General features: G+C 40.8%; 1 protein-coding gene across 1 annotated transcript in view; it reads right to left on the reverse strand.

The window, feature by feature from the left end:
• The window catches only part of TMEM132D (transmembrane protein 132D), an 832,300-nt gene that overhangs the window by 440,620 nt on the left and 366,058 nt on the right, over positions 1–25,622 (reverse strand). Inside the window, exon 3 of the mRNA NM_133448.3 lies at positions 18,714–18,860. Coding sequence (NP_597705.2) covers positions 18,714–18,860 — 147 coding nt within the window. The remainder of the gene's footprint in view (positions 1–18,713; positions 18,861–25,622) is intronic.

The following is a 25,622-nucleotide window of genomic DNA, read 5'->3' on the forward strand; positions in this document are numbered from 1 at the left end:
AGTGTCTTTTTTACTGAACTCAAAAATGGGACAGTTTGATGTCAGAACTGTTGTATTCCATTTATCGTCAAAAGAGACGAGCCCTTCTTAGAATTATAGCCAGCACAGAGACGAACAAGATGACAGAGAGACATTGAACATTGGTGACATCTTCTAAGTCATAAACCCAGCAATATTGTAGTGTAACAAAACAGCATAAATATTTATTAGCTATACAGTTTCTGAGGGTCAAGAATTTGGGAGCAGCTTAGCTGGATTGTTTTAGCTCATGAGTTATCATCTGATGTTGGCCAGGACCGTGATCAACTAGGGGCTAGGTGCTCTGTTTCCAACGAGGCTCACTTATGTTTCTGGTCAGCTTGTGCTAACTATAGCAGGAGTCCTCAGTCCATCCCCATATGGGCTTCTCTACTGGCTACACGCATGTCCACATGTCATGGCAGCTGCCTGGCTTGTCCCAGAGTGAATGTCTCAAGAAAGAGCAAAGCAGAAGTAGAAATGTAGTTTAGGATCCAGCTTCAGAAGTCACATGCCATCATTCTGCTAGGAGTTCATTAGAAGCAAGTTACTACATCTAACCCGCATTCAAAAGGAGGGTTATTGGACTCCACCTTCTGAAGGCAGGAGTGTCGAAGAATTTCTAGACGTATTTTGAAACCACCACACCAGCCATATTTGAAGGTCAGTGTCTTAGTCCATTTTGTGTTGCTAGAAAAGAATATCTGAGGCTGGGTAACTTATAGAGAAAAGAAGTTTATTTATCACACAGTTCTGCAGGTTGAGAAGCTCAAGGGCATGGCCCTGGCTTCTGGTGAGGGTTTTGATGTTGCAACACAACACAATGGAGAAGGTCAAAAAGGGAGCATACATGTGTGAAGAGGAGAAAACTTGACAGGCTTTGTAACAACCCACTCTTAAGGGAACCTAACCACTCCCTCAAGAACCAATCCAGCCTTTTGAGGGTGAGAGCTTACTACCATGAGCACAGCACTCAGCCATTGATGAGGGATCTGCCCCCATAACCCAAACATCACCCGCTAGACTCCATCTCCCAACACTGCCATAATGGGGACCAATTTTTTTTTAATTGACCTGGAAAGATGTTCTTCACGTAGTGGGAAAAAAACAAAAACAGGTTTGTTTGTTTGTTTGTTTTTGAGACAGAGTCTCACTCTGTCGCCCGGGCTGGAGTGCAGTGGCGCGATCTCGGCTCACTGCAAGCTTCGCCTCCCGGGTTCACGCCATTCTCCTGCCTCAGCCTCCCGAGTAGCTGGGACTACAGGCACCCACCACCACGCCCGGATAATTTTTTTGTATTTTTAGTAGAGACGGGGTTTCACCGTGTCAGCCAGGATGGTCTCGATCTCCTGACCTCATGATCCGCCCGTCTCAGCCTCTCAAAGTGCTGGGATTACAGGCGTGAGCCACCGCGCCCGGCCAATGGGGACCAATTTTTATTTTTATTTATTTATTTATTTATTTATTTATTTATTTATTTATTTATTTTTTTGAGACGGAGTCTCGCTCTGTCGCCCAGGCTGGAGTGCAGTGGCACGATCTCGGCTGACTGCAAGCTCCGCCTCCCGGGTTTGTGCCATTCTCCTGCCTCAGCCTCCCGAGTAGCTGGGACTACAGGCGCCCGCCACCACGCCTGGCTAATTTTTTTTGTATTTTCAGTGGAGACGGGGTTTCACTGTGTCAGCCAGGATGGTCTCGATCCCCTGACCTTGTGATCCGCCCGCCTCGGCCTCCCAAAGTGCTGGGATTACAGGCGTGAGCCACCGAGCCCGGCCAATGGGGACCAAATTTTAATATGAATTTTGATGGGTGCAAACAAACCATATCCAACCGCAGTAGGCTACTTCAAGACTTTTTGTTTCCTGCACCCATAATTCTATCGCTGCCACCACCACCACCAGCATCTCCATTACATCTTTTTCTTCATTTCTTCTTTTTTCTCCCTTGAATAAACTAGTTGGAGCTGGATTTTCTGTCACTTTCAATAGACAGAGAGACTCTTAACTGATATAGAAATCAAAAATATATCTTCTCACTCTAACTGTAGTGTTCCTACTGATAAACCACAGCTGACAAATTATGGTCTGAGTTTTGACATTGAAGGGCTAGATTTTTATGTTGCGTGTAGAGCACAGGGGATTCTTAGAACATCAATAGTATGTGCACCCATCTCTGATCATGCTAACCTCAGTGAATTGAAATGATTTATCTGTGCATGTGAGCTGAATGAACATGCAGGACTGTTCATTCATCCCGAACATTCATCTTTGCATCCTTAGGGCCTAACAAAGTGTGTGGTGTAAATTAGATGCCTAATATACATTTGCTGAACAGGAGAGAACGGCTGCAATTTCACTGTGTGAAATGATCATTGATGTTTAAGATGGTTAGAATTTTGCTTTTATGATCCATTCTCTTGATAGCTATGATTTGTCTGAAGCTGAAGCCCTCAGGAAGGAATGCAACACCCTCCAACCCCCTGAAATTGCAGCACTGTTCCTATGGGAAAATAGAGTCCAGCGTAAGACAATATACTCCATGATTAGTGATGTTCCAGAATGCCTGGTGATGGAAAACAAGGACTGCCTATAATAGAATTGCTCTTTAGTCATTCAGAGAGACTCATTTAATCAAAGCCTGCTAGCATAAACTGCTGCTTTACAGCATGAGGCCCTTCTGGAAGAACATTAACTCTTGCATCTCCCCAGAGCCCCAGTTCAGCATATTTCCAATCAATATTTGCTCCGTAAGCACTGTGTGTACAGGACTAGCCATTTTATTTTACTTATTTCTTAATCTAGATGCCCACTGACTTTCCCAGAAGAAACCAGGCAACCACAGACTTAACGTTCCCCAGAAATCGAAACGCTGTGTCTTGTTGCTGTCGGTACACTGGTTTTCAGCTCTGCACGGTTTTTTGAACTAATTTCAGAAAAGACGTTTTGTACACATACCTTTCCCCACATATTAGTTACAAATAAAATGAATATGAATAGATAAATGAATGAACAAATGAATGAACAAATTGGTAGGGCACTACCAATGTGATTGAAAGTTGACATTTCAAACCCTTCTGGCCTTATAAAATCTTAGAGTGACTTCTATTACTGAATGTGGTCATGATCCTAGGGCCCAGAACATAATCCCCCAAAATATGGAACTTTGGCGATTGGGAATACTGCAGAAGCAGAAGCAGCAGCAAGAATGCCACTATGACCTCCTCCTCCCATTCTCCCCTGAGCCACGGTCATAAAGGAATTCTCTGACCTACCTCTCCAGAGAGAAGGTTGTAATACCCTCATTCCAGAGGGGTCCTGCCCTATATCTGAAGGCCAGGGGGAATCTAAACAAGCAGTCTTGCTATATCCCCAACCCCATTCCAGTCTATTACCAACGGACCATATCCCCTTCTGTCCAATCACCTTTCTATGTAACTGTCCATTCCTCATTGAACCCATGCATAAAGCCACAGTTTTCCCTGGGTCTTTGGATTTTTATTTCTGAAGGCTCCCGTGACATGTAAAACCTTGGTTAAATAAATTCGTTATGCTTTTCTCTTGTTAATCTGTCTTTTTTCATAGGGGTGTCAGCCATGAACCATGCAGAAAGTGAGGAAAAGATATTCCTTTCTCTCCCCTACAATGACATTGACAATCAGACAAGAACCACGCAAGGTGCTTTTCATGCATTCACTTCCTCCATCCTCAGGACTGCTGGATGTGTCATAATTACATCCATTCCATGTGTGTGGACATCAAGAGGCTACACATCCTAGACAATTGCACAGCTGATTGGTAGCAGGGCATGGACTTGGACTCAGACCCTGTGAACCCACATTAACATTCACTTAATCATTTCACTTTCCTCACTCCAGGGGATCTGACCCAACTCCAAAAGTCTATAAGTGCAACGTCTGACTGAGGGATCCAGCTCTGAACCTGCCTCCCCAGTGTTTGAAACCTAGTTCCACCATGTATTAGTCTGTTTTCATGCTGCTGATAAAGACATACCCAAGACTTGGTAATTTACAAAGAAAAAGAGGTTTAATGGACTCACAGTTCCACGTGGCTGGGGAGGCCTCACAATCATGGCAGAAGGTGAAAGGCACATCTTACATGGTGGCAGACAGGAGAGAAAATGAGAGCTAAGTGAAAGGGGCTTCCCCTTATAATACCATCAGATCTCGTGAGACTTATTCACTACCATGAGAACAGTATGGAGGAAACTGCCCCCATGATTCCATTATCTCCCACTGGGTCCTTCCCACAACATGTGGGAATTATGGGAGCTACAATTCAAGGTGAGATTTGAATTGCCAAACCATAACACATCATCACTGCAGAACTGAACTAAGGGGATGTACTAACTTCTGATGGCTACTGTAACAAATGACCACAAATACAGAGGCTTAACATAATGTGGATTGACTCCTTATAGTTCTGGAGATCAGAAGCCTGAAATCAAGGTGTTGGCCAGGCTGGTTCTTTCTGGAGGCTTCAGGGGAGAATCCATTGCCTTGCTTTTTTCAGTTTTAGAGGCTTCCACATTCCTTGGCTCCTGGCCCCTTCCTCAAATCCATCAAACCTCCAGTTCCATTACCACATCTCCTACTTCTGACACCAAATCTCCCTCTGCCTCTCTCTCCTCTGTAATTACATGGGACCCATCAGATTAGTCTCATCTGGAGGTTCTCAACTTAATCACATCTTCAAAGACTCTGTTGCCATGTAACCTATATATTGACAAGCTATAGATCCCGGACACAGGCATATTTGGGGTGAGGGTGAGGGTGGGAGTGGGAGTGGGAGGTATTATTCAGCCCACCACAGAAAGTAATGTAAGTTACCTAAATTTTGCTGGGACTCAGCTTCAAGATCCATCAAATGGTGATGATATTTTTTTTACTTACCCTTAGCATTAGGAGAATCAAGTTGGTTAAATTGAAACAAGCTCTAGGTAAATCCCTTTGAAGAAGCTGGTACATATTTATCTATTAACAAATGTGATGCATTAGTACTCAGATTACCAGTTCAAAGGGTCTAAAGGTAGATATAATACTTCAACGAAAAGGGGTGAGTCAGAGGGTCTGAGGCGTGTCTACAGATAAAGGGGGTGAGGAAGACAGAGAAGCCAGGGCCATTCAGTGGGGAAGACATTAGCTGCCTGCTGTTCCTACAGTTCTCTGGGATGGCAACTGCTGACCCCTGAGTGGGGTGGACCCATGGGAGCATATTTAAGGGCGTCAAGCTGCATCATTGCCTGATGTTAAAATAGCACTGGACAATAAAAACTACATGAAATTTTCCTTCCCCATGCAAAATTCAATCCACATCTTCTCGTAAATCCTGCCTGAGGTTTCTGATACAGTTTCTTAGGCTCATAAGCCCATCTCAAGGTCATTCCAAAATTAGTTTGGAGGTAGTTTTCTATGTGGCAGGCATGGTTGAATAAGGAACAAGGAGAAATTATGCTTGGCTTCTTTCTGATGATATTTATGCTGTAAAAGAAAATTCGACTTCTAATACCATCCACTGCCTTGAAACTTATCGGTGTCCTTAGTTTCTTTGTATTATTTTAATATACAGCCTAAGATTATTGTACAATAGAATGGATTCATTCTAATTTACCTGGCAAAAAGATAGTCACTTAAATGCCAACACAAAAATGTATTGATGAATATAACTACAAGATCATCACAAGGCAATAACTTTCAAAGAAAGTTTTTTCCCCCCTAAGGAGGATAAACAATTTCATTTTCTAATACCTTGACAGTTCCCTTCATGTTAACCTCAATTTCATAGTTGAAGGAAATGCATAGTTTTTCTGTTGTGAGTTTATAAGAACAATAGAAGAATCAAAACCCCTGCATATATTTTTCTAATTAATAAAACTAAGTCATGCTTATTGCAGTAGATTTGGCAAGTATCAACAAATGAAAGAATGAGACTCTAAGATCATGAGAACACACATTTTGTTTCGTTTGCCTTTGGTGTCCTCCTATACAGTACAGTGCCTAGCACATGGTAGGTTCTCAAAATTTTATGGTTTGAATTCAGGAGGAAATAAATATCAGTCACAATTTCACTGTTATTAAAATTGTGTTCTATTTCACTTTTAGCCTCTTGACTATATTGTGTGTGTGTGTGTATATATATGTGTGTATATACATATACACATGTGCGTGTGTGTGTGTGTATATATATACACACACACACACATATATATAAAAATATGCACATATAACATTTTGGTTATTAACAAAATCAGGTTGCTACTCTATATGTTTTATTTCATGCCTTTTTTAACATACCAGTAAATTGAGAGCATTTCCTCATGCCAATAAATCTTTTAAAACACCATTTTGTCAGCTCTGTTACATTTTGCTTGTGAAACTGCTATAGTTATTTAATCATGCCTGTATTCCTAGCACTTAAGGATTCTAATTTTTTCTATTATCAATAACAATGTGAACACCGTGCTTAGGTATAATACTCCTGATTATTTACTTAAGATAAATCCTAAAATGTAGAAACAAAAGGTTATTAAAAATTTTAATGAAGGTTGGCACACACTGACATATCTCTTTTCTACATAGGAAGTTCTTTGAAGCTTTCCATTGGTTACAATTCCATTCATGTGAAGTTTGAATAGAATACACTTTCCCAGTTACAGCCCAAGGAGGTTTTGGCTTTTACATGTTAAAGATACTTTTTCCCTTTAATTATGTCTTACCTGTTTTAAGAAATCCGAGCTCCTTTTAAGGAAGGGGTTATTAGTCTGGTGTGGATGGAGTTAGAATTCAGGGCTCTATGAACTTGGCTGGGGAAAAACAGCCCTTTATTTTTCCTACCCTGGAACTGAAATTTAGCACGTCCTTCAATGTTGAACCTCGGGGACTACCAGAGTAGCTGTGACTTTTCGCCAACAGAAGCCACAGTGATCTTCATAGTCTATTGGATTTGTAAAAGATATTTCAAAATGTACCCTGCCCTGAACACTTACTTGAAATCACAGTAGTTATTACACATGCTGCTAGGCTTTGTTTTCAGAGTTTTATTAAGGAAGCTCATAAAATACCTTATCACAATTTAGAAAATGTTTTGAAAGCCGCATTTCAATATAGCTGCATTCCTCAGGATTCCTAAGAATTTTATTTTAGGAAATTAAAAACATTATTCTGAGGAAAGATTCATAAATGTCACAGAATTGTCAAAGCAATCTATGACACCAAAAACAGATAAGAATGCTTTTTTTTTTTTCTTTGAGATGGAGTCTTACTCTGTGGCCCAGGCTGGAGTCCAGTGGTGCAATCTCGGCTCACTGCAACCTCCGCCTCCTGGGTTCAAGCAATTCTCCTGCCTCAGCCTCCTGAGTAGCTGGGATTACAGGTGCCCACCACCATGCCCAGCTACTTTTTGTATTTTTAGTACAGACAGGGTTTTACCATGTTGGCCAGGCTGGTCCCCAACTCCTGACCTCAGGTGATCCGCCCGCCTCCGCCTCCCAAAGTTATGGGATTACAGGTGTGAGCCACCGCACCTGGCCAAGAATGCTTGTTTTAAAGGTATCAAGGAAACAACCAGGAGAAAACATAAATTTCCCATATAAAATACATTTTGCAACTTATAAAGGGCTCTAGGAATATGATGTATGTGCACATATATGTATAGATAGATAAGTATCTTGTACAGTACTGTTTTTGTTAGTGTGGGGCATCTGTCACCATAGGTGTGTAAGACAGTGTTCAGTGAGGCCGAACTTGATTTTTGGTGGGTGTTTAAGCAGAACAGACATTAAATAATCTTAGGGCCTCCCAACTCCCCTACTCTCTTTCCAACTGTGCGTTTAGCTGGAGAGAACAATAGTACACAGTGAAATGCTTAATACCATGACATTTTGCTTTCAATCCATTGATTCTCTTAAGGAGAAAGGCTTACTCTGGGGTGCATACGTCTCTAATCCTTCTGTAAGACCTCCCAACTATCTGTTCTAACACAGAAGAAAAAGCCCCAGAACTGGCTGCAAACAATAGTCTCCACATGGAATTCATTAGTAGTGACTCCTTTCATTATTTGATTTTCACAATTAACTTCTAAATCCAAATTGTCCTAGTTTTTCCATTTTTATAACTTCCCTTTGGAATACATTTACTTGAATTCAAAAGTAAAAGGAGTTAAAGGAGCATGTAAGTGACCCTGAAAGTTTGATGTAGACACGATAAATATTGTGAAAAGATTGTTATTGTCAGAGTTTCAGGAAACCTGGACCAAGCTTCACCATTTTTATACCTTAAGCCCTCCAACTTTTTAATGATTTCAGGTAAAAGAATGATCAAGGCACGCCACGATTAAGCTGTACATGTTGAGATCATCTCTGTGTCTTGATATTAAAAACCAAATCCAATCATCCTCTCCCATCAGTGCTTTCAGACACTCACGTGGTCTCATTTCTTTTCAAGACCTTCACACAGGTTTTCTGCCTGTAGATCTGCTATAATAAGGACCTATAGACCAAACAAAATGTTGCTCTCATCCATGTTACACTTGCCTCCAGGAGTGAGTAATCAAAACCACATTCAGCAAGTTTCCCAGACTTTGAGAGTTGTTCAAAAACAATGCTGAGTAATTGTAGACAAAAAACACCCAGTGGCTGAGATTGATATTGACTTAACTGAGGAGATACTTTCTTATATTTACACAGTCCCAGTTGATGTCTCTTGTAGACTTTGAATTTGATCCTGATACAATTACATCACATGTTGGTATTCTGTCCACAAAACAGAAACCCATTTTACTCTGGAGGATTTTCGAATTCAGGTTATAGGAAAGGGGTCACTGGTCTTGTGATACGAGTTGAATTTACACCCAGCATCTCTTTTCTGTGGTAGAAAAACTGGATCTACCTTTAAGACAAAAGATTAAGTGTCTAGAACTACCTGCATTTATTAATTGGAATCATTTGTTTAAAGAAGTAAACGTCTTCAAAATAGCAAGGTGAAAAAGCTTTTAACGCTACCCCTGATTAGAATGGCTGGTGAACGGATCATTTATTTCTTCTACTGCTGATCACAGAGCTTTTAAATGGAAGTTAAGAGTTCCTTTTAGAAAAAGCTCTAAAAGGAAAAGAGCAAGTTTATATAGAAAATAAAAAGAAAATCAAAGAGCAGTTGAGAAAGAATTAAGGTAACCAGGTACTTCGTAACTTAGTGTGTCCCACTGAGAAGCTGAAAATCTATCAATTTAAAATGCAGTCTAGAAACTGAATATCAGCGGAATCATCAACGTGTCCCCTTGTGTCTGGCTTCCTTCAGCGTCACACTTCAGGCCTTATCTATGTTTTCTCAACGCTTCTGTCGCTTGTTCTTTTTCATTGCTGAGTAGTATTCCGTTGCTTAAATGTACCACGGTTATTTATCCCTCACCAGCTGGCAGACATTTGGGTGATTCACAGTTTGGGCTATTATGGAAACAGCAAAATTATAGACAGAAGAGACCATGGCTTGCCTAGAATTGGGATAGAAATAAAAACTTCATGCAAATGGGTAAAAGCTGATTTTTTTTTTTTCCGATGATGGAAAACTGGGTTGCAGTGACGGCTGAACAACCAAAGACATTCTTCTAAAACTCATTTAACTGTGTGCCTAAAATAGGTCAATTTGACAGTATGTAATTTATAACGCAAGAGCTTAACGAAGGTTCTAAGTAGGAATCTAAAGTCATATGCCCGTATTGCCAGTTTCTCTAACTGATGTCAGTTAGTCACCAGGGTTAAAGGACTAAGATGTCACCAAAGAAAGTTCTTACACTGATTGACACACATCATGGCAGGTGAAAGCTGTCAGAAGAAAGTTGCTTTTAGAAATGATAGAAACCAAACTGTATATATTAATACTTAAAAAATAAGACATCCTGTCCATAAGAAACAACACTTAGAATGAAATTTTTAGGACATAAGAAAGATGATACTTTGCACCAGTTGGACTGTAAATAAAGCTTCTTCAGATGGATCCTATAATTTTTCTTTCATTTCTTTTTTTAATGTTCCATGAAATACTATTATCTTTCTAAGCTGTTCCCCAGGACTTCAAGCCACAGATCATCCACACATAGCATTTGTTCCATCAAGCTAAACACACCAGGGGAAACTGGAGGTTTCGGCAAGTTTGATAAAATACTCACGGTAAAGGGTTGTCATGGAGCGTGAAGGGACAGACCCGAGACCGTGCGGCCCACACAGTTAAGTCATCAAAGGAAATGGCTGTCGCAAAGAACACTCCCTCATCATCAAAAACATCGAAGACTATTTCGGAGAGATGCAGAAATCTATTCGCTTGTTGACAATGAACACCCATCAGAAACAGTGACTGCAAATGTTCATGATCCTTAACAAATAAAAAAATACTTTAGATTTTACGGTGTGTGTATATATATTACTAATACATATGTAAATATAGATATTGGTATGGATAAGATATAGATATAAATATGGATCTGTAGATATAGACAAAGCTATACAGATTAGATATATATGTAGACACAGATTAGATATATATGTAGACATAGATTAGATATATATGTAGACATAGATTATATATATATATACATAGATTAGATATAGAAAAATAGATGTATGTAGACATAGATATAGATACAGACATAGAAATTTTTTTCTCTGTAGGACTGCTACTGACGGTTTCCATGCTCAGAGAGGACACTAAGGGCTGCACATGTGTGCATACACACGCACGTGCACACACACACACACAGACACACACACTTATTGAAGCTGCAAGTTCAGACATGTACATGAAGACAGATAGTAGCACATAGTTTTCTACATGGAATGTCATGTGTCACTTTAGATATTTCTGCCACTGCAGGTGTTTTTGGTAGTTCCATTGAAATGGGAGCTTTCTCTTTCCTCGAAGCAACATCTAGTGGCCTTCGTAGGACTCTGAAATCACAAACCGACAGCAACCAAACATGAGCCATGATCTACAACCCCGGAGTGTATTGATGAAGCATTTTGATGAACACCAGCAAATGGCATAATGTAATTATTGTTGCTATTAGGTTATTATTTATGCCACACGCATGACTCTTGTAGCTGTAGCAAGAGAAGCAGTCGGTATTTTAGTATTACAGCACTCTGGAGATCCTATCAAAAAGCCACGGCAGCTCCGGCTAGCAAAGACGCGTGGCGGTAACTCAGTGCCGTTACCCACGAAAAGTGGATGTTCAATAATTTAATTCTAAATTTGGTGCTCTACTTGGAAACAGAAGATATTAAATACCAGATATATGGATATAATAAAAGCAAAGCAATACGAGGGTAAATTAAGGCAAATCTCACACTCCCTCATTGCTACTGTATAATGAGATTGAATGAGCGTCAGGAAATGGTGAGTGAGTCAGCCTGAAGTCTGATTTCACAGAGAATGGGGTTCATCATTCCCCTTGACTGCCAGGCCATATGCTTGAATTACTGCTGCCTCCTGGCTGAGTTTAAATGTTTCTCAAGGAGGCAATGTAGATAAGCTTACATTTACTGGGGCAAAACTCAGTGCTATCTTAGGAAGATTCTAAAGCTCTATTCCCCACAATGTCCAGAAAATATCTTTGCATACTTCACCTGAACTTGCATTTCTCAAACACTGGCTTTGAACAATGAGAACACATGGACACAGGAAGGGGAACATCACACACCGGGGCCTGTCGTGGGGTGGGGGGAGTGGGGAGGGATAGCATTAGGAGATATACCTAATGCTAAATGACGAGTTGATGGGTGCAGCACACCAGCATGGCCCATGTATACATATGTAACAAACCTGCACATTGTGCACATGTACCCTAAAACTTAAAGTATAATAATAAAAAATAAAAAAATAAAAAGGTGAAAAAAAAAGAAAGAAACAGCCATGTCCTTATGCCATCTATACCTGTATTAACTCAGTATTTTTCTCTAAAACAACACATTGCTGGGGGGTTCTCTTCATAATTACATGAGCGGTAACATATCGTACATGCTACTATTCAAGATTTTCTCCCCGTTCAACATTACAGTTTCAGGTTAATTTCTTGCTGATATACACAGATCAATGGCATCCCTCATAATTGCTGCATAAAATTTATTACATGAACACAACTTTTTAAAATTAATTCACATCTTGATGGGCATTTAGGCTGTTTTTAACTGTCTGCTATTACCAAAAAAACGGCTGCAATTACAGCCCTGTATCCATCTCTCCAGATTGATGGCTAAGCTTTTATCTAGAGCATATATTTCTAGAACTGTAATTTCAGGGTCACAGGACGCAGGTTTTAAATCTTATTAGCCAGATACTGACAAATATATCTCTAAAGTGGAAGAACCATTTTACAAATCCCCAGAAGGGTATAAGAGTTCTCTGTTCTTCCGGGAGGCGGAGGTTGCAGTGAGCGGAGACTGCGCCACTGTACTCCAGCCTAGCGACAGAGTGAGACTCCGTCTCAAAAGAAAAGAGTTCTCTGTTGTCCCTCATCCTCAGAAAAACATTTTATTATTTTCATATTTTTTTCTTTTTTCTTTTTTTTTTTTTTTTTGAGACGGAGTCTCGCTCTGTCGCCAGGCTGGAGTGCAGTGGCGCGATCTTGGCTCACTGCAAGCTCCGCCTCCCGGGTTCAAGCGACTCCCCTGCTTCAGCCTCCTGTGTAGCTGGGACTACAGGCGCCCGCCACCACACTCAGCTAATTTATTTGTATTTTAGTAGAGATGGGGCTTCACCATGTTGGCCAGGATGGTCTCGATCTCCTGACTTCGTGATCTGCCCGCCTTGGCTTCCGAAAGTGCTGGGATTACGGGTATGAGCCACGGTGCCCAGCCGGTTTTTTTTTTTTTTTTTTTTTTTTTTTTTGCTAATATAATTAATAGAAATGATATCTAGTAGTTCTGAAAACAACATCTTGGTCTGTTGTATCCCTAATGCAGAAGTTATTAAAACAAACTTGAATGGAAATGCTTCTGACAGATTCTAAATTTAAACATAATGGGGAAACTTTGTTATCATTGATACAGGCTCGGTATACCACTAATGTGATTCATCTTGTACTTTGGCAAATTTAAATTTAGACTCTGGAAATAAAAGCATCCTTCATGGTCTAGGAGGACTTGGGCATGTGTGCTGCATATACTACATGGGTGCTTTAAGAATCTAAAAATGATGAAGAGATGGGTTTCTTTTAATGGTTCTGTTGATTATTTCAAAGTGTGTGCGCATGTGTGACTGTATTTGATTCTCACAACAGTCCAGGGAAGGCTGGCATTGTTATGCCAATATTACAGAAGAGGAAGTTGCTTTTCCTCTCTGGTCATCTGCCAGACAGACATCACTGCGACGCACAGCATAAAAATGAGAACGAAACATCACATTTTCTGGATCTCACATTTATGTTCTTCCCACTCTCTTTGCGGAATCATCATTCGGATGGTAATACATACAACTGTGGTAATCCATAGTCAATAGGGAGGATATGGAAACTATTTAAGGCATCATAAATCACAGTTGCCCACAAAAGGAAAGTCACGCCATTTTGATGACTTCATACCACTGTCTCAGGTTTGTTTTTGGTTGGGTGATACTCAGATTCTGGGTCTCAGAAGAGCTGATTGTTTCATTTAGTGGATAACAGCCTGCTGGAAAATTAACAAGCATTTCTTTAAGTTTCTAACATACACACAACAACTGTTCTGGTAGCGTGCTAATGTGAGTTTCCCCACCCTATTATATTGTACTGCAAATTTCTAAGGGATCCTAATAAAGTGAAGGAGGTAGTGAGGTACTATGCTTTTTTCATCATCCTATGGAAATCCCACATGTGTATTCTTTATAAATTGACAAAATAGAGGTTGCTGGTTGCCCCACTCCCCCAGGCTGCTCTTTTTTTCTTATTTTTTTCCTCGAGACAAAGTCTTTGGCTCTGTCTCCCAGGCTGGAGTGCAATGGCATGATCTCGGCTCACCTCAACTTCTGCCTCCCAGGTTCAAGCGATTCTCCTGCCTCAGCCTCCTGAGTAGCTGGGATTACAGGCATGCACCACCATGCCCAGCTAATTTTTGTATTTTTAGTAGAGACGGGGTTTCACCATATTGGCCAGGATGGTCTCGAACTCCTGACCTCGTCATCCACCCACCTCAGCCTCCCAAAGTGCTGGGATTACAGGCATGAGCCACCACTCCCAGCCTCTTCTTTCTTTAGAACAGAACACTGATTTTGAACTGGGCACACTGCTGGTAATAAATCATGTTTCCTACTTTGTTTTGAAGTATGGTTTGGTCATGTGATTAAGTTCTTATCAGTGAGATGCAAGAGAGAGAAATAGGGTTGAAAAGAGCTTCCAGGAAGGTTGCCTAAAAAGAGTCAACACAGTTAAGAAGACCCTTTTCTGTCTTTTCTTTTGCCTGCAATGCTGATGCAATGACAGACAGTCCTGAAGCAGTCTTGATCTATGAGGATGTAAGCCCTCCATTCACATGGTGTTGAAGAAAGAAAGGTGCCTGGGACCCTAGTGATACTGGAGAACTGCCATTCCAGCTGTGGCCAGCCTTAAGCTTCTTTTATGTGAGAAAGAAAAAACTTCTGTCTTGTTTAAGATATTCCTATTTGTTTCAGAAAACAATCTATTTAAGGCTGGGTACGGTGGCTCATTCCCATAATCCCAGCACTTTGGGAGGCCAAGGCAGGTAGATTGCTTGGGCTCAGGAGTTTGAGACCAGCTTGGGCAACGGGGCAAAACCCCACCTCTACTATATATACAAAAATTAGCCAGGTGTGGTGGTGCACGCCTGTAATCCCAGCTACTTGGGTGGCTGAGGCAGAAGAATTGCTTGAACCCAGGAGGCAGAGGCTGCAGTGAGCCAAGATCGCACCACTGCACTCCGGCTTGGGCAACAGTGTGAGACCTTGTCTCAGGAAACAAAACAAAATGAAACAAAACATTCGTTTTAAAATGAAACGTTATTTACAAAAAATGTAAAATCAGTATGATAATGAACAAATAGATAATTATGAAAATAGATTAAATTTATCTACATACTCTTGCCTATCTATAATGTACCAGCTAAGGATAGAGGCTTTAAAGAGATACTAGCCCTTAAAAGAGATGAACTTCTCTTCAATCAAGTCTTGCTGGAGAACTTAAATAAATGTAAGTTTTTCTCATTCAAGTATACTGATCCTCCTTTCTACGTGACACCTAAAATCATTTACATATCAACCGTGGTGAGCTTTGGGAAACACTTGTCTATGGAGAGAACTACAAGGAAATGAGAACATGTGGCTTTTGTTACATATTTATCTAAGTTAACATAGGAGTATACTGAGCAAGATTTTGCAAATGCAAAATGCAATTTGATGGACACAGCATAATTGGTTATCCTGCAGGCAACGCTTAATCAAAACAGATCTGATAGCTGGGGTAACATTCACATGTTCATACTGTTATGATCAGATTCTCAGCAACCTAACTTCTTCAAACAGGGAAGGATGCAGTTAAACTTAGATAAGAGATCTTCGCTCACTCCTGGTGAGTTCATCACTAGCACAAAAGTGTCTCCTTAATACACAAAATTAAACCTGTCACAGTGACTTAACTTCATTAACACAACTTCCTGATCCATGGCAAATTATTAGCAATACAAAATCTATGACTCTCAAGCTAATTAACACTGCTTCTTTTGCATTATGATGATCAGATTCTGACTTTTAAGAATAACTAGAAAACACTCAAAGAGGGTAGCAGGAAATTATAAAGCAAAACAGCTTCTGAAGCAAAACCTACCAATATTATTAAAACATCTACTCTATAATCCATTTTCCAATTATCCTTAAGAAAAACACATCTCATCGCAGTCCATTCACTATCTGTAATCACGGAGCATGATTTCTCTTTGTTTAATTCTCCAAAGGCAGAAGTAAAATGAAAAGTTTCAAAGCGAGGATAAAAGTTGAATATATGAATGAATACATCATATTTTAAAAATCTCTATTTTAGTTGCAGATGTCTTATGAAATAGGTAATACATGCACACAGCAAAAAAAAAAAAAAAAAAAAATCAAACAGTTCAAATGGTTCACTGTAAAAAGTAATTTACATTCAGCCTTTTCTCCCAGCTTCCCAGTTCTCTCCAGTAGAAATCGCAGTTGCCAGTCCTTTGTGTAGACTTCTTGGGACATAGTGTGCTCACAAAAGTACCCTTCTCTGGGTTTCCCCAAATGCAGCATTATACATGCAGCTATGCACCTTACTTTTTGAACAAGCATACAGAAAACCACTAAATATGTGTGCATACAAATTTGTATCATAATACATACATACCAGAGATATGGCCTAATTCTAGAACAAATTATCAAATTGAACAAACATTTATAGACAGCCCACTGTGTGCCAGACACTGCTGTATGAGCTGGAGCATAACTGGAAAAAGACCTGCTCCCAAAACTATAAGACTTCCGTTCTAGAGCTTCCTCATTAAGCAAAGCCTTCCTAGCTGCTGTGTAAAATCCCTACCTCAACACATTTGTCTATCAACAAAACACCTGTAAAATGTACATCTATATGCATGCATGCATTTGCATACCTATATCACATATATGTGTTCTATATGCATATATAATATGCTGTATGCATGTACACACATATAACATATTATACACATATAACATATTGTGTGTGTGTGTGTCTGTATGTGTATAACCTTTTTCCATCATCCAGACCCATAGTATGAGGAAACATATCCTGGCCTCCAGAAGACAAGAAGAAAAAAGATAAAAAAGGAAACAGAAAACTGGCATCAGAATGTACAAAGAGATAAGGAATGGTCTTCACTTAGAATGAAGAATTAGGGCTTTTAAAAGAAGAGCTTTATATTCTATTCAGGGTCCTCGTTTCTTAAAGAAGATACTGACACAGATGAAAGAAAAATAAATGGCATCCACCATGCATTTCTGCATTTGGATGTCCTCTGAATGTGCTGAGATTCTGGAAGCCTCTGGAACTATAAAAAGGCAGCTTACATTTCAATGGGAAGGAGCCACCATTGGGCCCCCCCATGCTCTCTCTCTGTGTCCAAGATGAACTGAACTATTTGTCAGAAGTTAACAATAAAAAGGGCACAAATATTTTCTAATGGTTCAACTCCCTCAGTCTCTCATAGACAAGACTACAACTACTGCTTCTACTAATACATAAAAAGAGATGGCAAAAGAAATCACAAGAGAAAATGAAAGTTCACCGGTTGAGATTCTTTCCCCTAAATTTATTATTTTCTTCTGATAAAGAATAAACACATCTATTCATCCACCCTCTCATCCATCCACTCATCCATCCATCCATTTGCCCATCAATCTATCCATTCCTCCATCCGTCTACCCATCCGTCCACCCCCGTGTCCATCTCTCCCAATTTTTGCTAACTACAAAACACAAAAGAAATATTTTATTGAGATAGCACCTGATTTCCAAATTATATTACTGGTACAGATGTGTTTCAATTTGTGTATCTATAAGTTCACCCAGTTCACCAGTATGGCACACTATCACTACATAAACATATCACTACATACATATCTAGGACTGAACTCAAATACAGATTTTCTCTTTTCCCTCTCATTTGCTGTACAAGCAAATCTTCAAGAATAAAAAGGAAAGGCCCAAACGAGAGCTGCTGATAATCCAAATTCCTAAAAACCAACATCGAGCAAAGAAGTACAGAAAAGAATCCAAATCAAATCATCCCCACATTGGTTTCAAATGCTCCTTGATCATAAGCCAAAAAAAATCATAATAGTTATCAGCTGAGATTCCTGAGCTCCCTGCTAGAATAAATAATAAAAAATAAGGATATTTTCCAAACACTGAGCTAGGAAGTTTAAAAATGCACTCCAGAAATAATGCATGGCATATCGGAATTCATCCTTTCATTATTGTTGAAATTTTCAATAGAATCCTGAGCAAAAAGCAACATACAGGTGACAAAAATATGTGACCAGACTAGGAAACCCCCAGAGCCACAAATGAGATTTCAGGAAAGTGCAATAAAACAAGAACTACTGAGTTTCCGAGCCTCCCTTTGCCCAGCTGTGAATTGATTGTTTCTAATTTGGTGGCTATCAGAGACAGATTCAGGTTTTAATTTCTCCCTAGAGTGATCCACAATTCCCTGCAATTCTACTGCAGATAGTTCACTGTACCATCAGAAAATGCCTGCCCGTGAATACAATCATATGCATTGTATTTAAATATACACTGCAAACGTGGAATGCACCCGTGTGAAGAGAGACGTATAGGCTCTGGTTTCTAACACTTGCAAAATGGGCCGTTTCATGAGACATGCAGAGTTTCAGTTCCTCCAATAACATGGACTAGAAAGAGGTCATGTTGAAGAGGAACATGGTTTGTGGGTCAATTCCATCTGCATGGTGCAGTCCTTGCAGGTGATACGGTGCTCTGCTGGGGTTTTAAGTAGGTCTGCTGTGAATAACAGCCCACCTTTCCCAAATGAAAGATTCCATTCATCTACCTGGAGGCCCTGATAGAATAGACGACACACACCAAATGCAAACCACAGTGGAAATGGTTGTTAGCAATCTAGGAAAAAAAAAAAAAAATCAGGCCACATTTGCAGCTGATCTGAATATATCGGAGGCCAGTTGGGACTCACCTGTTTTCTGAGCCAGCTGCTTTCTTCTGACAAACGATGACAGCTGGTGCATACTTTCCAGTATAATCCGTGCGCTCCTTGACATCCCAAATGGAAGGGCTGCTGGCTCGCACGCCGATGATGTTCACGCCTTTCTTCACCTTTGCCCTGTTGGAGACAGCACGTGTGGGTCTGAGTCAGCTCTGGGGAATCCCCGGGTCATGCTGGTTCTGGGAACACGGGGAGCTTAATTGCTCACCGTTGCCTGGCAGGTGTAAGCTCATGTATACTAGGATTTAAACACAAATTTGCAGTCGCCTTCCAACCCATCTGCCCTAATTTCTTTCCGTTTTTCCTACCTTTACTAAAGAGCTAGAGATGGTAGACTGACAGCCAGCAAACATTAGTTACAGAAAGAAATAGAATATCCTTGCACTAGCTTGTATCTTTAAATAAAGCCAAGCCAAACACAAACACAGAACTACCTGAAAACCCTTAGCCTGGCCAAACTCAATAGAAAAAGGCAATGAAAATGCAAAAGTAAAGACTGAAATAAGAACGCACATTCATTGAATGTCTCCCAGTGCCAGGCCCTGATGGACACTGTGTCTATATTATCTGATCTTCCTAGCAAGGTTCCAAGCCCAAAATGAGGGGGCTGAGGTTCAGATAGGGGAAGGAACAATGATGGCCTCAAGTGATCCACCTGCCTCAGCCTCCCAAAGTGGGAGCTACTGCGCCCAGCCCTGTTTGCTTTTTATAATCTTGTCTTCTTACTGTATGCTTTCCATTCCATATGTTCTTTCCAATTCAGGTTTCTAAAAGAAACATAGAATAATGAAACCCCATCTCAACTAAAAATACAAAAATTATTTGAGTGTGGTGGTGTGCCCCTGTAGTCCTAGCTACTTGGGAGGCTGAGGTGGGAGGATCACTTGAACCTGGGAGGCGGAGGCTGCAGTGAGCTGAGATCGACCCACAGCACTCCAGTTTGGGTGACAAAGTGAGATCCTGCCTCAAAAGAAAAATAATAATAAATAAAATATAAAATAAAATAAAATGCAAACAGTTTGATTTTGATTTACAAGCTGGCCTAGAAGTTTGAAAAAGCTAATGTTTCCTGCTGTGTTTTCTCTTAGTCCCTCAGCGGAAAATAGGAAAAGTCTTGAAGCGAGAGTACCAAGGGGAACCTGGAGCACGCTGATGGTACCTGACCTAGGCAGACGAGGATGGTGGGAGCGGCCGACTTGGAGTTCCTCCAGACTTGTAATCATTGTGCCTATATAAACATGCAGTAAGGCAATGGTGCCAGAGCCTACATCTCAAAATCCCTCTCTGTCATGCCAGAGGAGAAAGTGAGACCATCTTCTGCTATTAATATTAGGGACAAAAGGCGAGGGGGAGATGACACTCATAGGACCAGGGCTTTGAGAAAAAGCAGGACACGTCTGTCCCTAACACCAACAACGCTATTTCCCATGGAAACAATTTTAAAATGTAGTGTGCAGAAAAGACCTGAGGCTGCAGGCTTGAGACTGCCCTCCTTAGGAAAGCCTGCTGGCAAGGGTGGCTGGGAACTTGGATTTGGGGAGCGTTCCCTCCCTTTTCATGGTCAGAGGGGCTCACGGTGCCTAGACTGGGCAAATGAGGTGGTTTATGCTGGACACTTTGTTGTCTTCTAGGAGCATAGAATTTTGGTACGTGCCAGGCAGAGGGTGCCCCCATGAGCAATCCCCAGTGAAAACCCTGAACTCCTGGGCTCAGGTGAGCTCCTCTGGCAGTGCTGTCCCAGCCATATGCTGGAGGAATTGGAGGAATTAAGCACATCCTGCGTGACTCCACGGGGAGAGGATTCCTGGGAGCGTGAGCCTGGTCTCCTCCCCTGTGCCTTTTCCCTCTGCGGACCATGCTTTGCTTTCCTTGGCGAATACATCGGAGCAGTGATTCTCACCACATGCTGAGTCCTGTGAGTTCTCCTAGTGACTCGCTGGACCTGGGGGTGGTCTTAGGAACCCCCAGGACACATACTGATTTGGCGAGTCCACAAAGAGAGAAAGAATTGCTTCTAGGTGTGGCCCTACTGCAAAAGTCAGCATTTTTAGAAAATGATCATCACGTATAACATTATTTCTGTGGGGAAAATGCACGTTTGATGTTTTAAATAATCATTATGCATGCAAACACTTTGAATGCAGTCGTTTAAAAACTGGGAATCGCATGCAGACGCCAAAAAGCCATCTGACCTTTCTAGATACTCAGGTGAGACACTGGGCGAATAGTTAGGATTCCTGCCTTGCAGAAACTCATTTAAATTGTAGGCAACCAAGATGTGGTAGCGAACAAAAGTACAATCCGCTGTGGACAGCTACTATTATACTAAGATGAATTCTAAAGGCTGTCCCAATTACTCTGCAGTGGAATTTTATTGAATCAACATTGCTTTAAATAAATAGGTCATCAACCTGGCTGTGACAACCTTTTCATTATACAGGAGATATCAGTACATAGGCCTTTTCTGATATATAATGGGCTTATATGTTTCTGAAATTTTATTCATAAGTAGGCTATGTGGAATTCAGATGATGTTTCTCCAATGAATCCTTTTCAAGTTCTTAAGAAAGGACACAGTGGCTTGTTCAACCCATGAAGTATTCAACATTTCTTGCTAATAATTCCACTGTAGCAAATGAAGCTATAGTCGGTAGCATTATTTCTGCAAAAATGTTTTTTCCTGGAATTTTATACAGGACACTGGGAACTGTCTTTCAGAGACACAGAACATTTTCATAATAGAACACACATTTCTAGGGCATGTTTTAGATGTTCAGAATTGAAGAAGGCATACTCAAGAGGTATCCTTGTGTGTGAATATCAAGGAAAATCTATGTAATAAACTGGATGGTCATTCTTCGGAGATGTAGACACGGTATTTACTGAACACGGTGTGTGTTGGGTTAATAATTTTGAAGCACGAATCTCAGAGCTGTCAGTGGCACCATTTGGAACCATTAAAGTAGTTCCTAGAACACATGCCCCTGGGCTCCACTGGGTCTGAGCCAAATACTAATTTCTCCCTTTGTTTATGACAACTGAGTTACTTACATTCATTAATGGAAGTTTTATAACCTACTTGTGGTTCAATAAATACAGGTTACACTGACAGCCTCATTACACAGAGATAAACATAGCACTTGATTTTGAAGATACTTTGCTGTAGATTTATGCTTAATAATATATCTACCATGGTGATGGGGGAAAGCCATAATTTTCCCCATAGTATGCACATGCACTGTGATTGGGTATCAACAAAACCTGCCTGGGGTTAAAGGTATATTGTGTTTTTAAAACATAATAGAACTGCAGGGACTGTGTATATTTTATATACATATATATATAAAAATATATAAATGCAATTTGTATATACATATATGTATACATAATGTAGAATATGTATATATCATCAACACACACACACAGAGTTTCAAGTACAGCATCCAGGGTTCAGAAATGTGGTGCGCAATTGTTGCTTTTGCTCCCCATACCCAATCTCTTTCCTGGATAGCAGTATCTTCATTTTGCTTATATGACCCACCTCTCTGCCATTCTATACCACCATGGTAGACTTGTAAGTCAAGAGTTTCTCCCTCCAACCCTGGACAAAAGGTGGACACATGACCTAAGCCAGTCCAGCTGAAAGATTCTCTCTGGAATATAATCTTGAACAAAGAGACACAGCAAATAAAAAAGGTTGGGGGAAATTCACCCAGCCTTGTGGCCCTGCTACAACTGTCTATTGCTTCCTTCTCTCTGGTTTGCAGGAATTAACACAGCTAACATTTCTGAATCTGGTTCTCAGCCTTCCCTTTAGGCATACAAATATTCCCCATCCTCCCATCCAGTCCCTTCTTGTTTAACGTAGCCTGAGTTATTTATGATCATTTCCAATTATATAACAAGGGGAGGCTAAGATTCAGTGACTTCAAGAACAAGGAAGTGTATTTCCTCCTCCTGTGAACATCCATTGCTGGTAACCCAGGTTGCTGGGTGTCTCTGTTCCACTCAGTCATTTGGGGATCAAGGCTGAAGGCATCTCTACTGTTTTTAATGTATAACTTCTAATGTCTCTGTGCTCATGACCATCCCAGCCAAGAGGAAGAGGGAAGAGCAGTAGACCAGAACAAGGGATTTCCTCTTAAGCAGGTGAGGTGGGCACTGCATGCCCAAATTCACTCACCTCCCATTGGAAGGAGCCTAGTCTCATGGCCACACCTGACTGCAAGAGCAGCGAGTGCTGGGAAGTCAGTCTTTACCTGGACAGCCGTATCCCCACTGTGACCCTGTCACTATAGTGGAAAGAGAGATGGATTTGGATGGAGGATTTGCATCTCCCTCCACCACAACCACCAGGGGACTCCAAATGATGGGATGTGTCAGCCTCCTAAAGTCTATAAATTTGAGTTCATTATCCAAAGCACTGTGTACAGAGACTTAGGCTGATGACAACATTGCCCCAAAGAGAAACTCCCTACTTACGCAATCTTGTCAGTGGAAGTGTTCTTAATATGCAACCTGAATACAGGCATATTCATGTATGAAATTCACACTGGGGCTATTGAACTAATACAAATGTGTGCTATAAAGAACACATAGAGACAGAAAGCAAAATTGATGAGATAAAAGTGGGATAAAGGGGAATTTCAGTGTTTTGTTTGTTGGGAGATTCATTTAAGATTTGTGTGCGTGTGTGTGTGTGTGTGTGTGTGTGTGTGTGTGTTGTTAGAAAAAAATGAAAGAGGAAGAGAGAGCAAAGAGAAAGGAAGGGGGACAGGGAGAGAAGTTTTGCTATATAGAGTTCAAAGCCCAAGAAGAGAAATTTGGATTGTGTGTAAGTCTCAGGCTATTTGTTTATAATGAACATAGTCCTGTTAGAAACTATTATTGGCTAATCAGCTATCCGCAGGCTAATACTGGCTTTAATCAATAACTGACTGTAGAATTCCAGGGAATTGGAGGAAGGAAGATACGAAGAGATCCAAACTTCTGGACTGCTTCTCTCACTTCTGAAATGAAAGATTTGTCTACATGTGTCTCCCCCAGAGATTCATGTGGCCACATAGTCTCTGCATAGATAAAATCCTGGTAAAATCTGATATCTCCATTTTTGAGTCCATATAGGCTCAATCTATGGAACAATACACAGTGTGCACCCACCAAAGGGTGCCACACTCCTACGCATGTAGATTTGGTGATAGCATTCCTCCCAGTTAATTGATGGAAACATGCCCTTTGGGGTCACAGCAAAGCTTTTTTGAATTGCTCTTTGTCTCCATACTTACTTTCTCTCATTAATAGTGACAGAGCATAAAATAAGCTTCATTTTTTTTATAGGTCATAGCTCTATTAACATATTGTGCAATCACTCTTGGCTTCTAATTTCCAGTTGACCAGAAAAACAAATTTATGGAAACGCTACTTTCCACTACATCAACATGTTGATATATCACATAACATTTTGCTTATATGATGAAGCACTTCCAGCCCGATCTGGACGTCTTGGCCCTGCCCTCGCCAGCAGTTACATGGATATGCCTGCTTACAATGCCACTGTCAGTATTTTAGGAATCATGTCCCACTTTTCACTTTGGGAGACACTAGGTCCCTCTTTCTATTACTGGAATATATTTGCTAAGTCTCCTTACTTTGTGACTATTCCACTATAGCCAGTTAAAGACCAACAGTGAAGCAGAAGAAAGAGCTAAGCCTAAAGTAACAATGTGAATGATATGTTTCCAACTTCTTTGTCATGCACCCCTATCAGTAAAAATATTTTCATATGCGGCCGGGCGCGGTAGCTCACGCCTGTAATCCCAGCCATGTGGGAGGCCGAGGTGGGAAGATCACCTGAGGCCGGGAGTTCAAGACCAGCTTGACTAAGATGGAGAAACCCTGTCTCTACTAAAAATACAAAATTAGCCAGATGTGGTGGTGTATGCCTGTAATCCCACCCAGCTACTCAGGAGGCTGAGACGGGAGAATTGCTTGAACCCGGGAGGCAGAGGTTGCGGTGAGCCGAGATTGTGCCACTGCACTCCAGCCTGGGTGACAGAGTGAAACTCTGTCTAAAAAAAAAAAAAAAATTCATATGCAACCTTTATATAGGTTTTTATGTTTATAAACTTTACAGTTGAACCATGGGTTGGACTATTGAAATAATGTGTGCTACAAAACATACATGAAAATGCACATTTTAAACCTTGAGACTAAAAATAATCAGTTGCCAAGTCCTGATTTTAGTTGATCCTCCAATGAATCATTTTACATTCCCCTTAGGATGTGCTCACCCCACGATAAAGGAGACACTTGAATCCCCTAGACCCTTTAATTCCCAAGAACGGGGTGCATGACACACAGCAGCGGCAGCCATGTGACAAGGAAGCTCAGCTCTAAGTGTTCATGTCAATATTCACATGGGGCTTAAATGCTCCTGCCAGCTCTAAGTGTTCATACCTTCACTTGTACAAGGGAATCTGTTTTCCCACTGCCCTTCTGGTGGGTAAAGTTAAATTTAGAAGTAAGACCTGTGACTTCAATGCAACCCATTTTTGCTGTCTTGCTAACTGTGAGGCATTACAAGGGCTCTAAACGGACATAAGGAAGTAGAGAACAGTTCGAGGAGACCAAAGAGAAGAGGAATTGGTTCACAGAAGAAATGGGGGGTCTCCACACCCCCACAGGGAAAAGCCAAGAATGCGGAAGCATGGGGGTGTGGCCTCCACTGCACTGAGGGAAAATGATGAGAACAGTTTTCAGTAACTGGTGGATTAATAGAACATTAAAATCCCTAGAAGCAAAGCTCAGCCTGTCATTAATTAGAAAGCACAAAATACACTAACGTTGAAAACTCAAAACTGCAGAGTCCTGGCCTCATCG

This window comes from Homo sapiens, chromosome 12 (assembly GCF_000001405.40).
Source record: "Homo sapiens chromosome 12, GRCh38.p14 Primary Assembly".
Taxonomy (NCBI): Eukaryota; Metazoa; Chordata; class Mammalia; order Primates; family Hominidae; genus Homo; species Homo sapiens.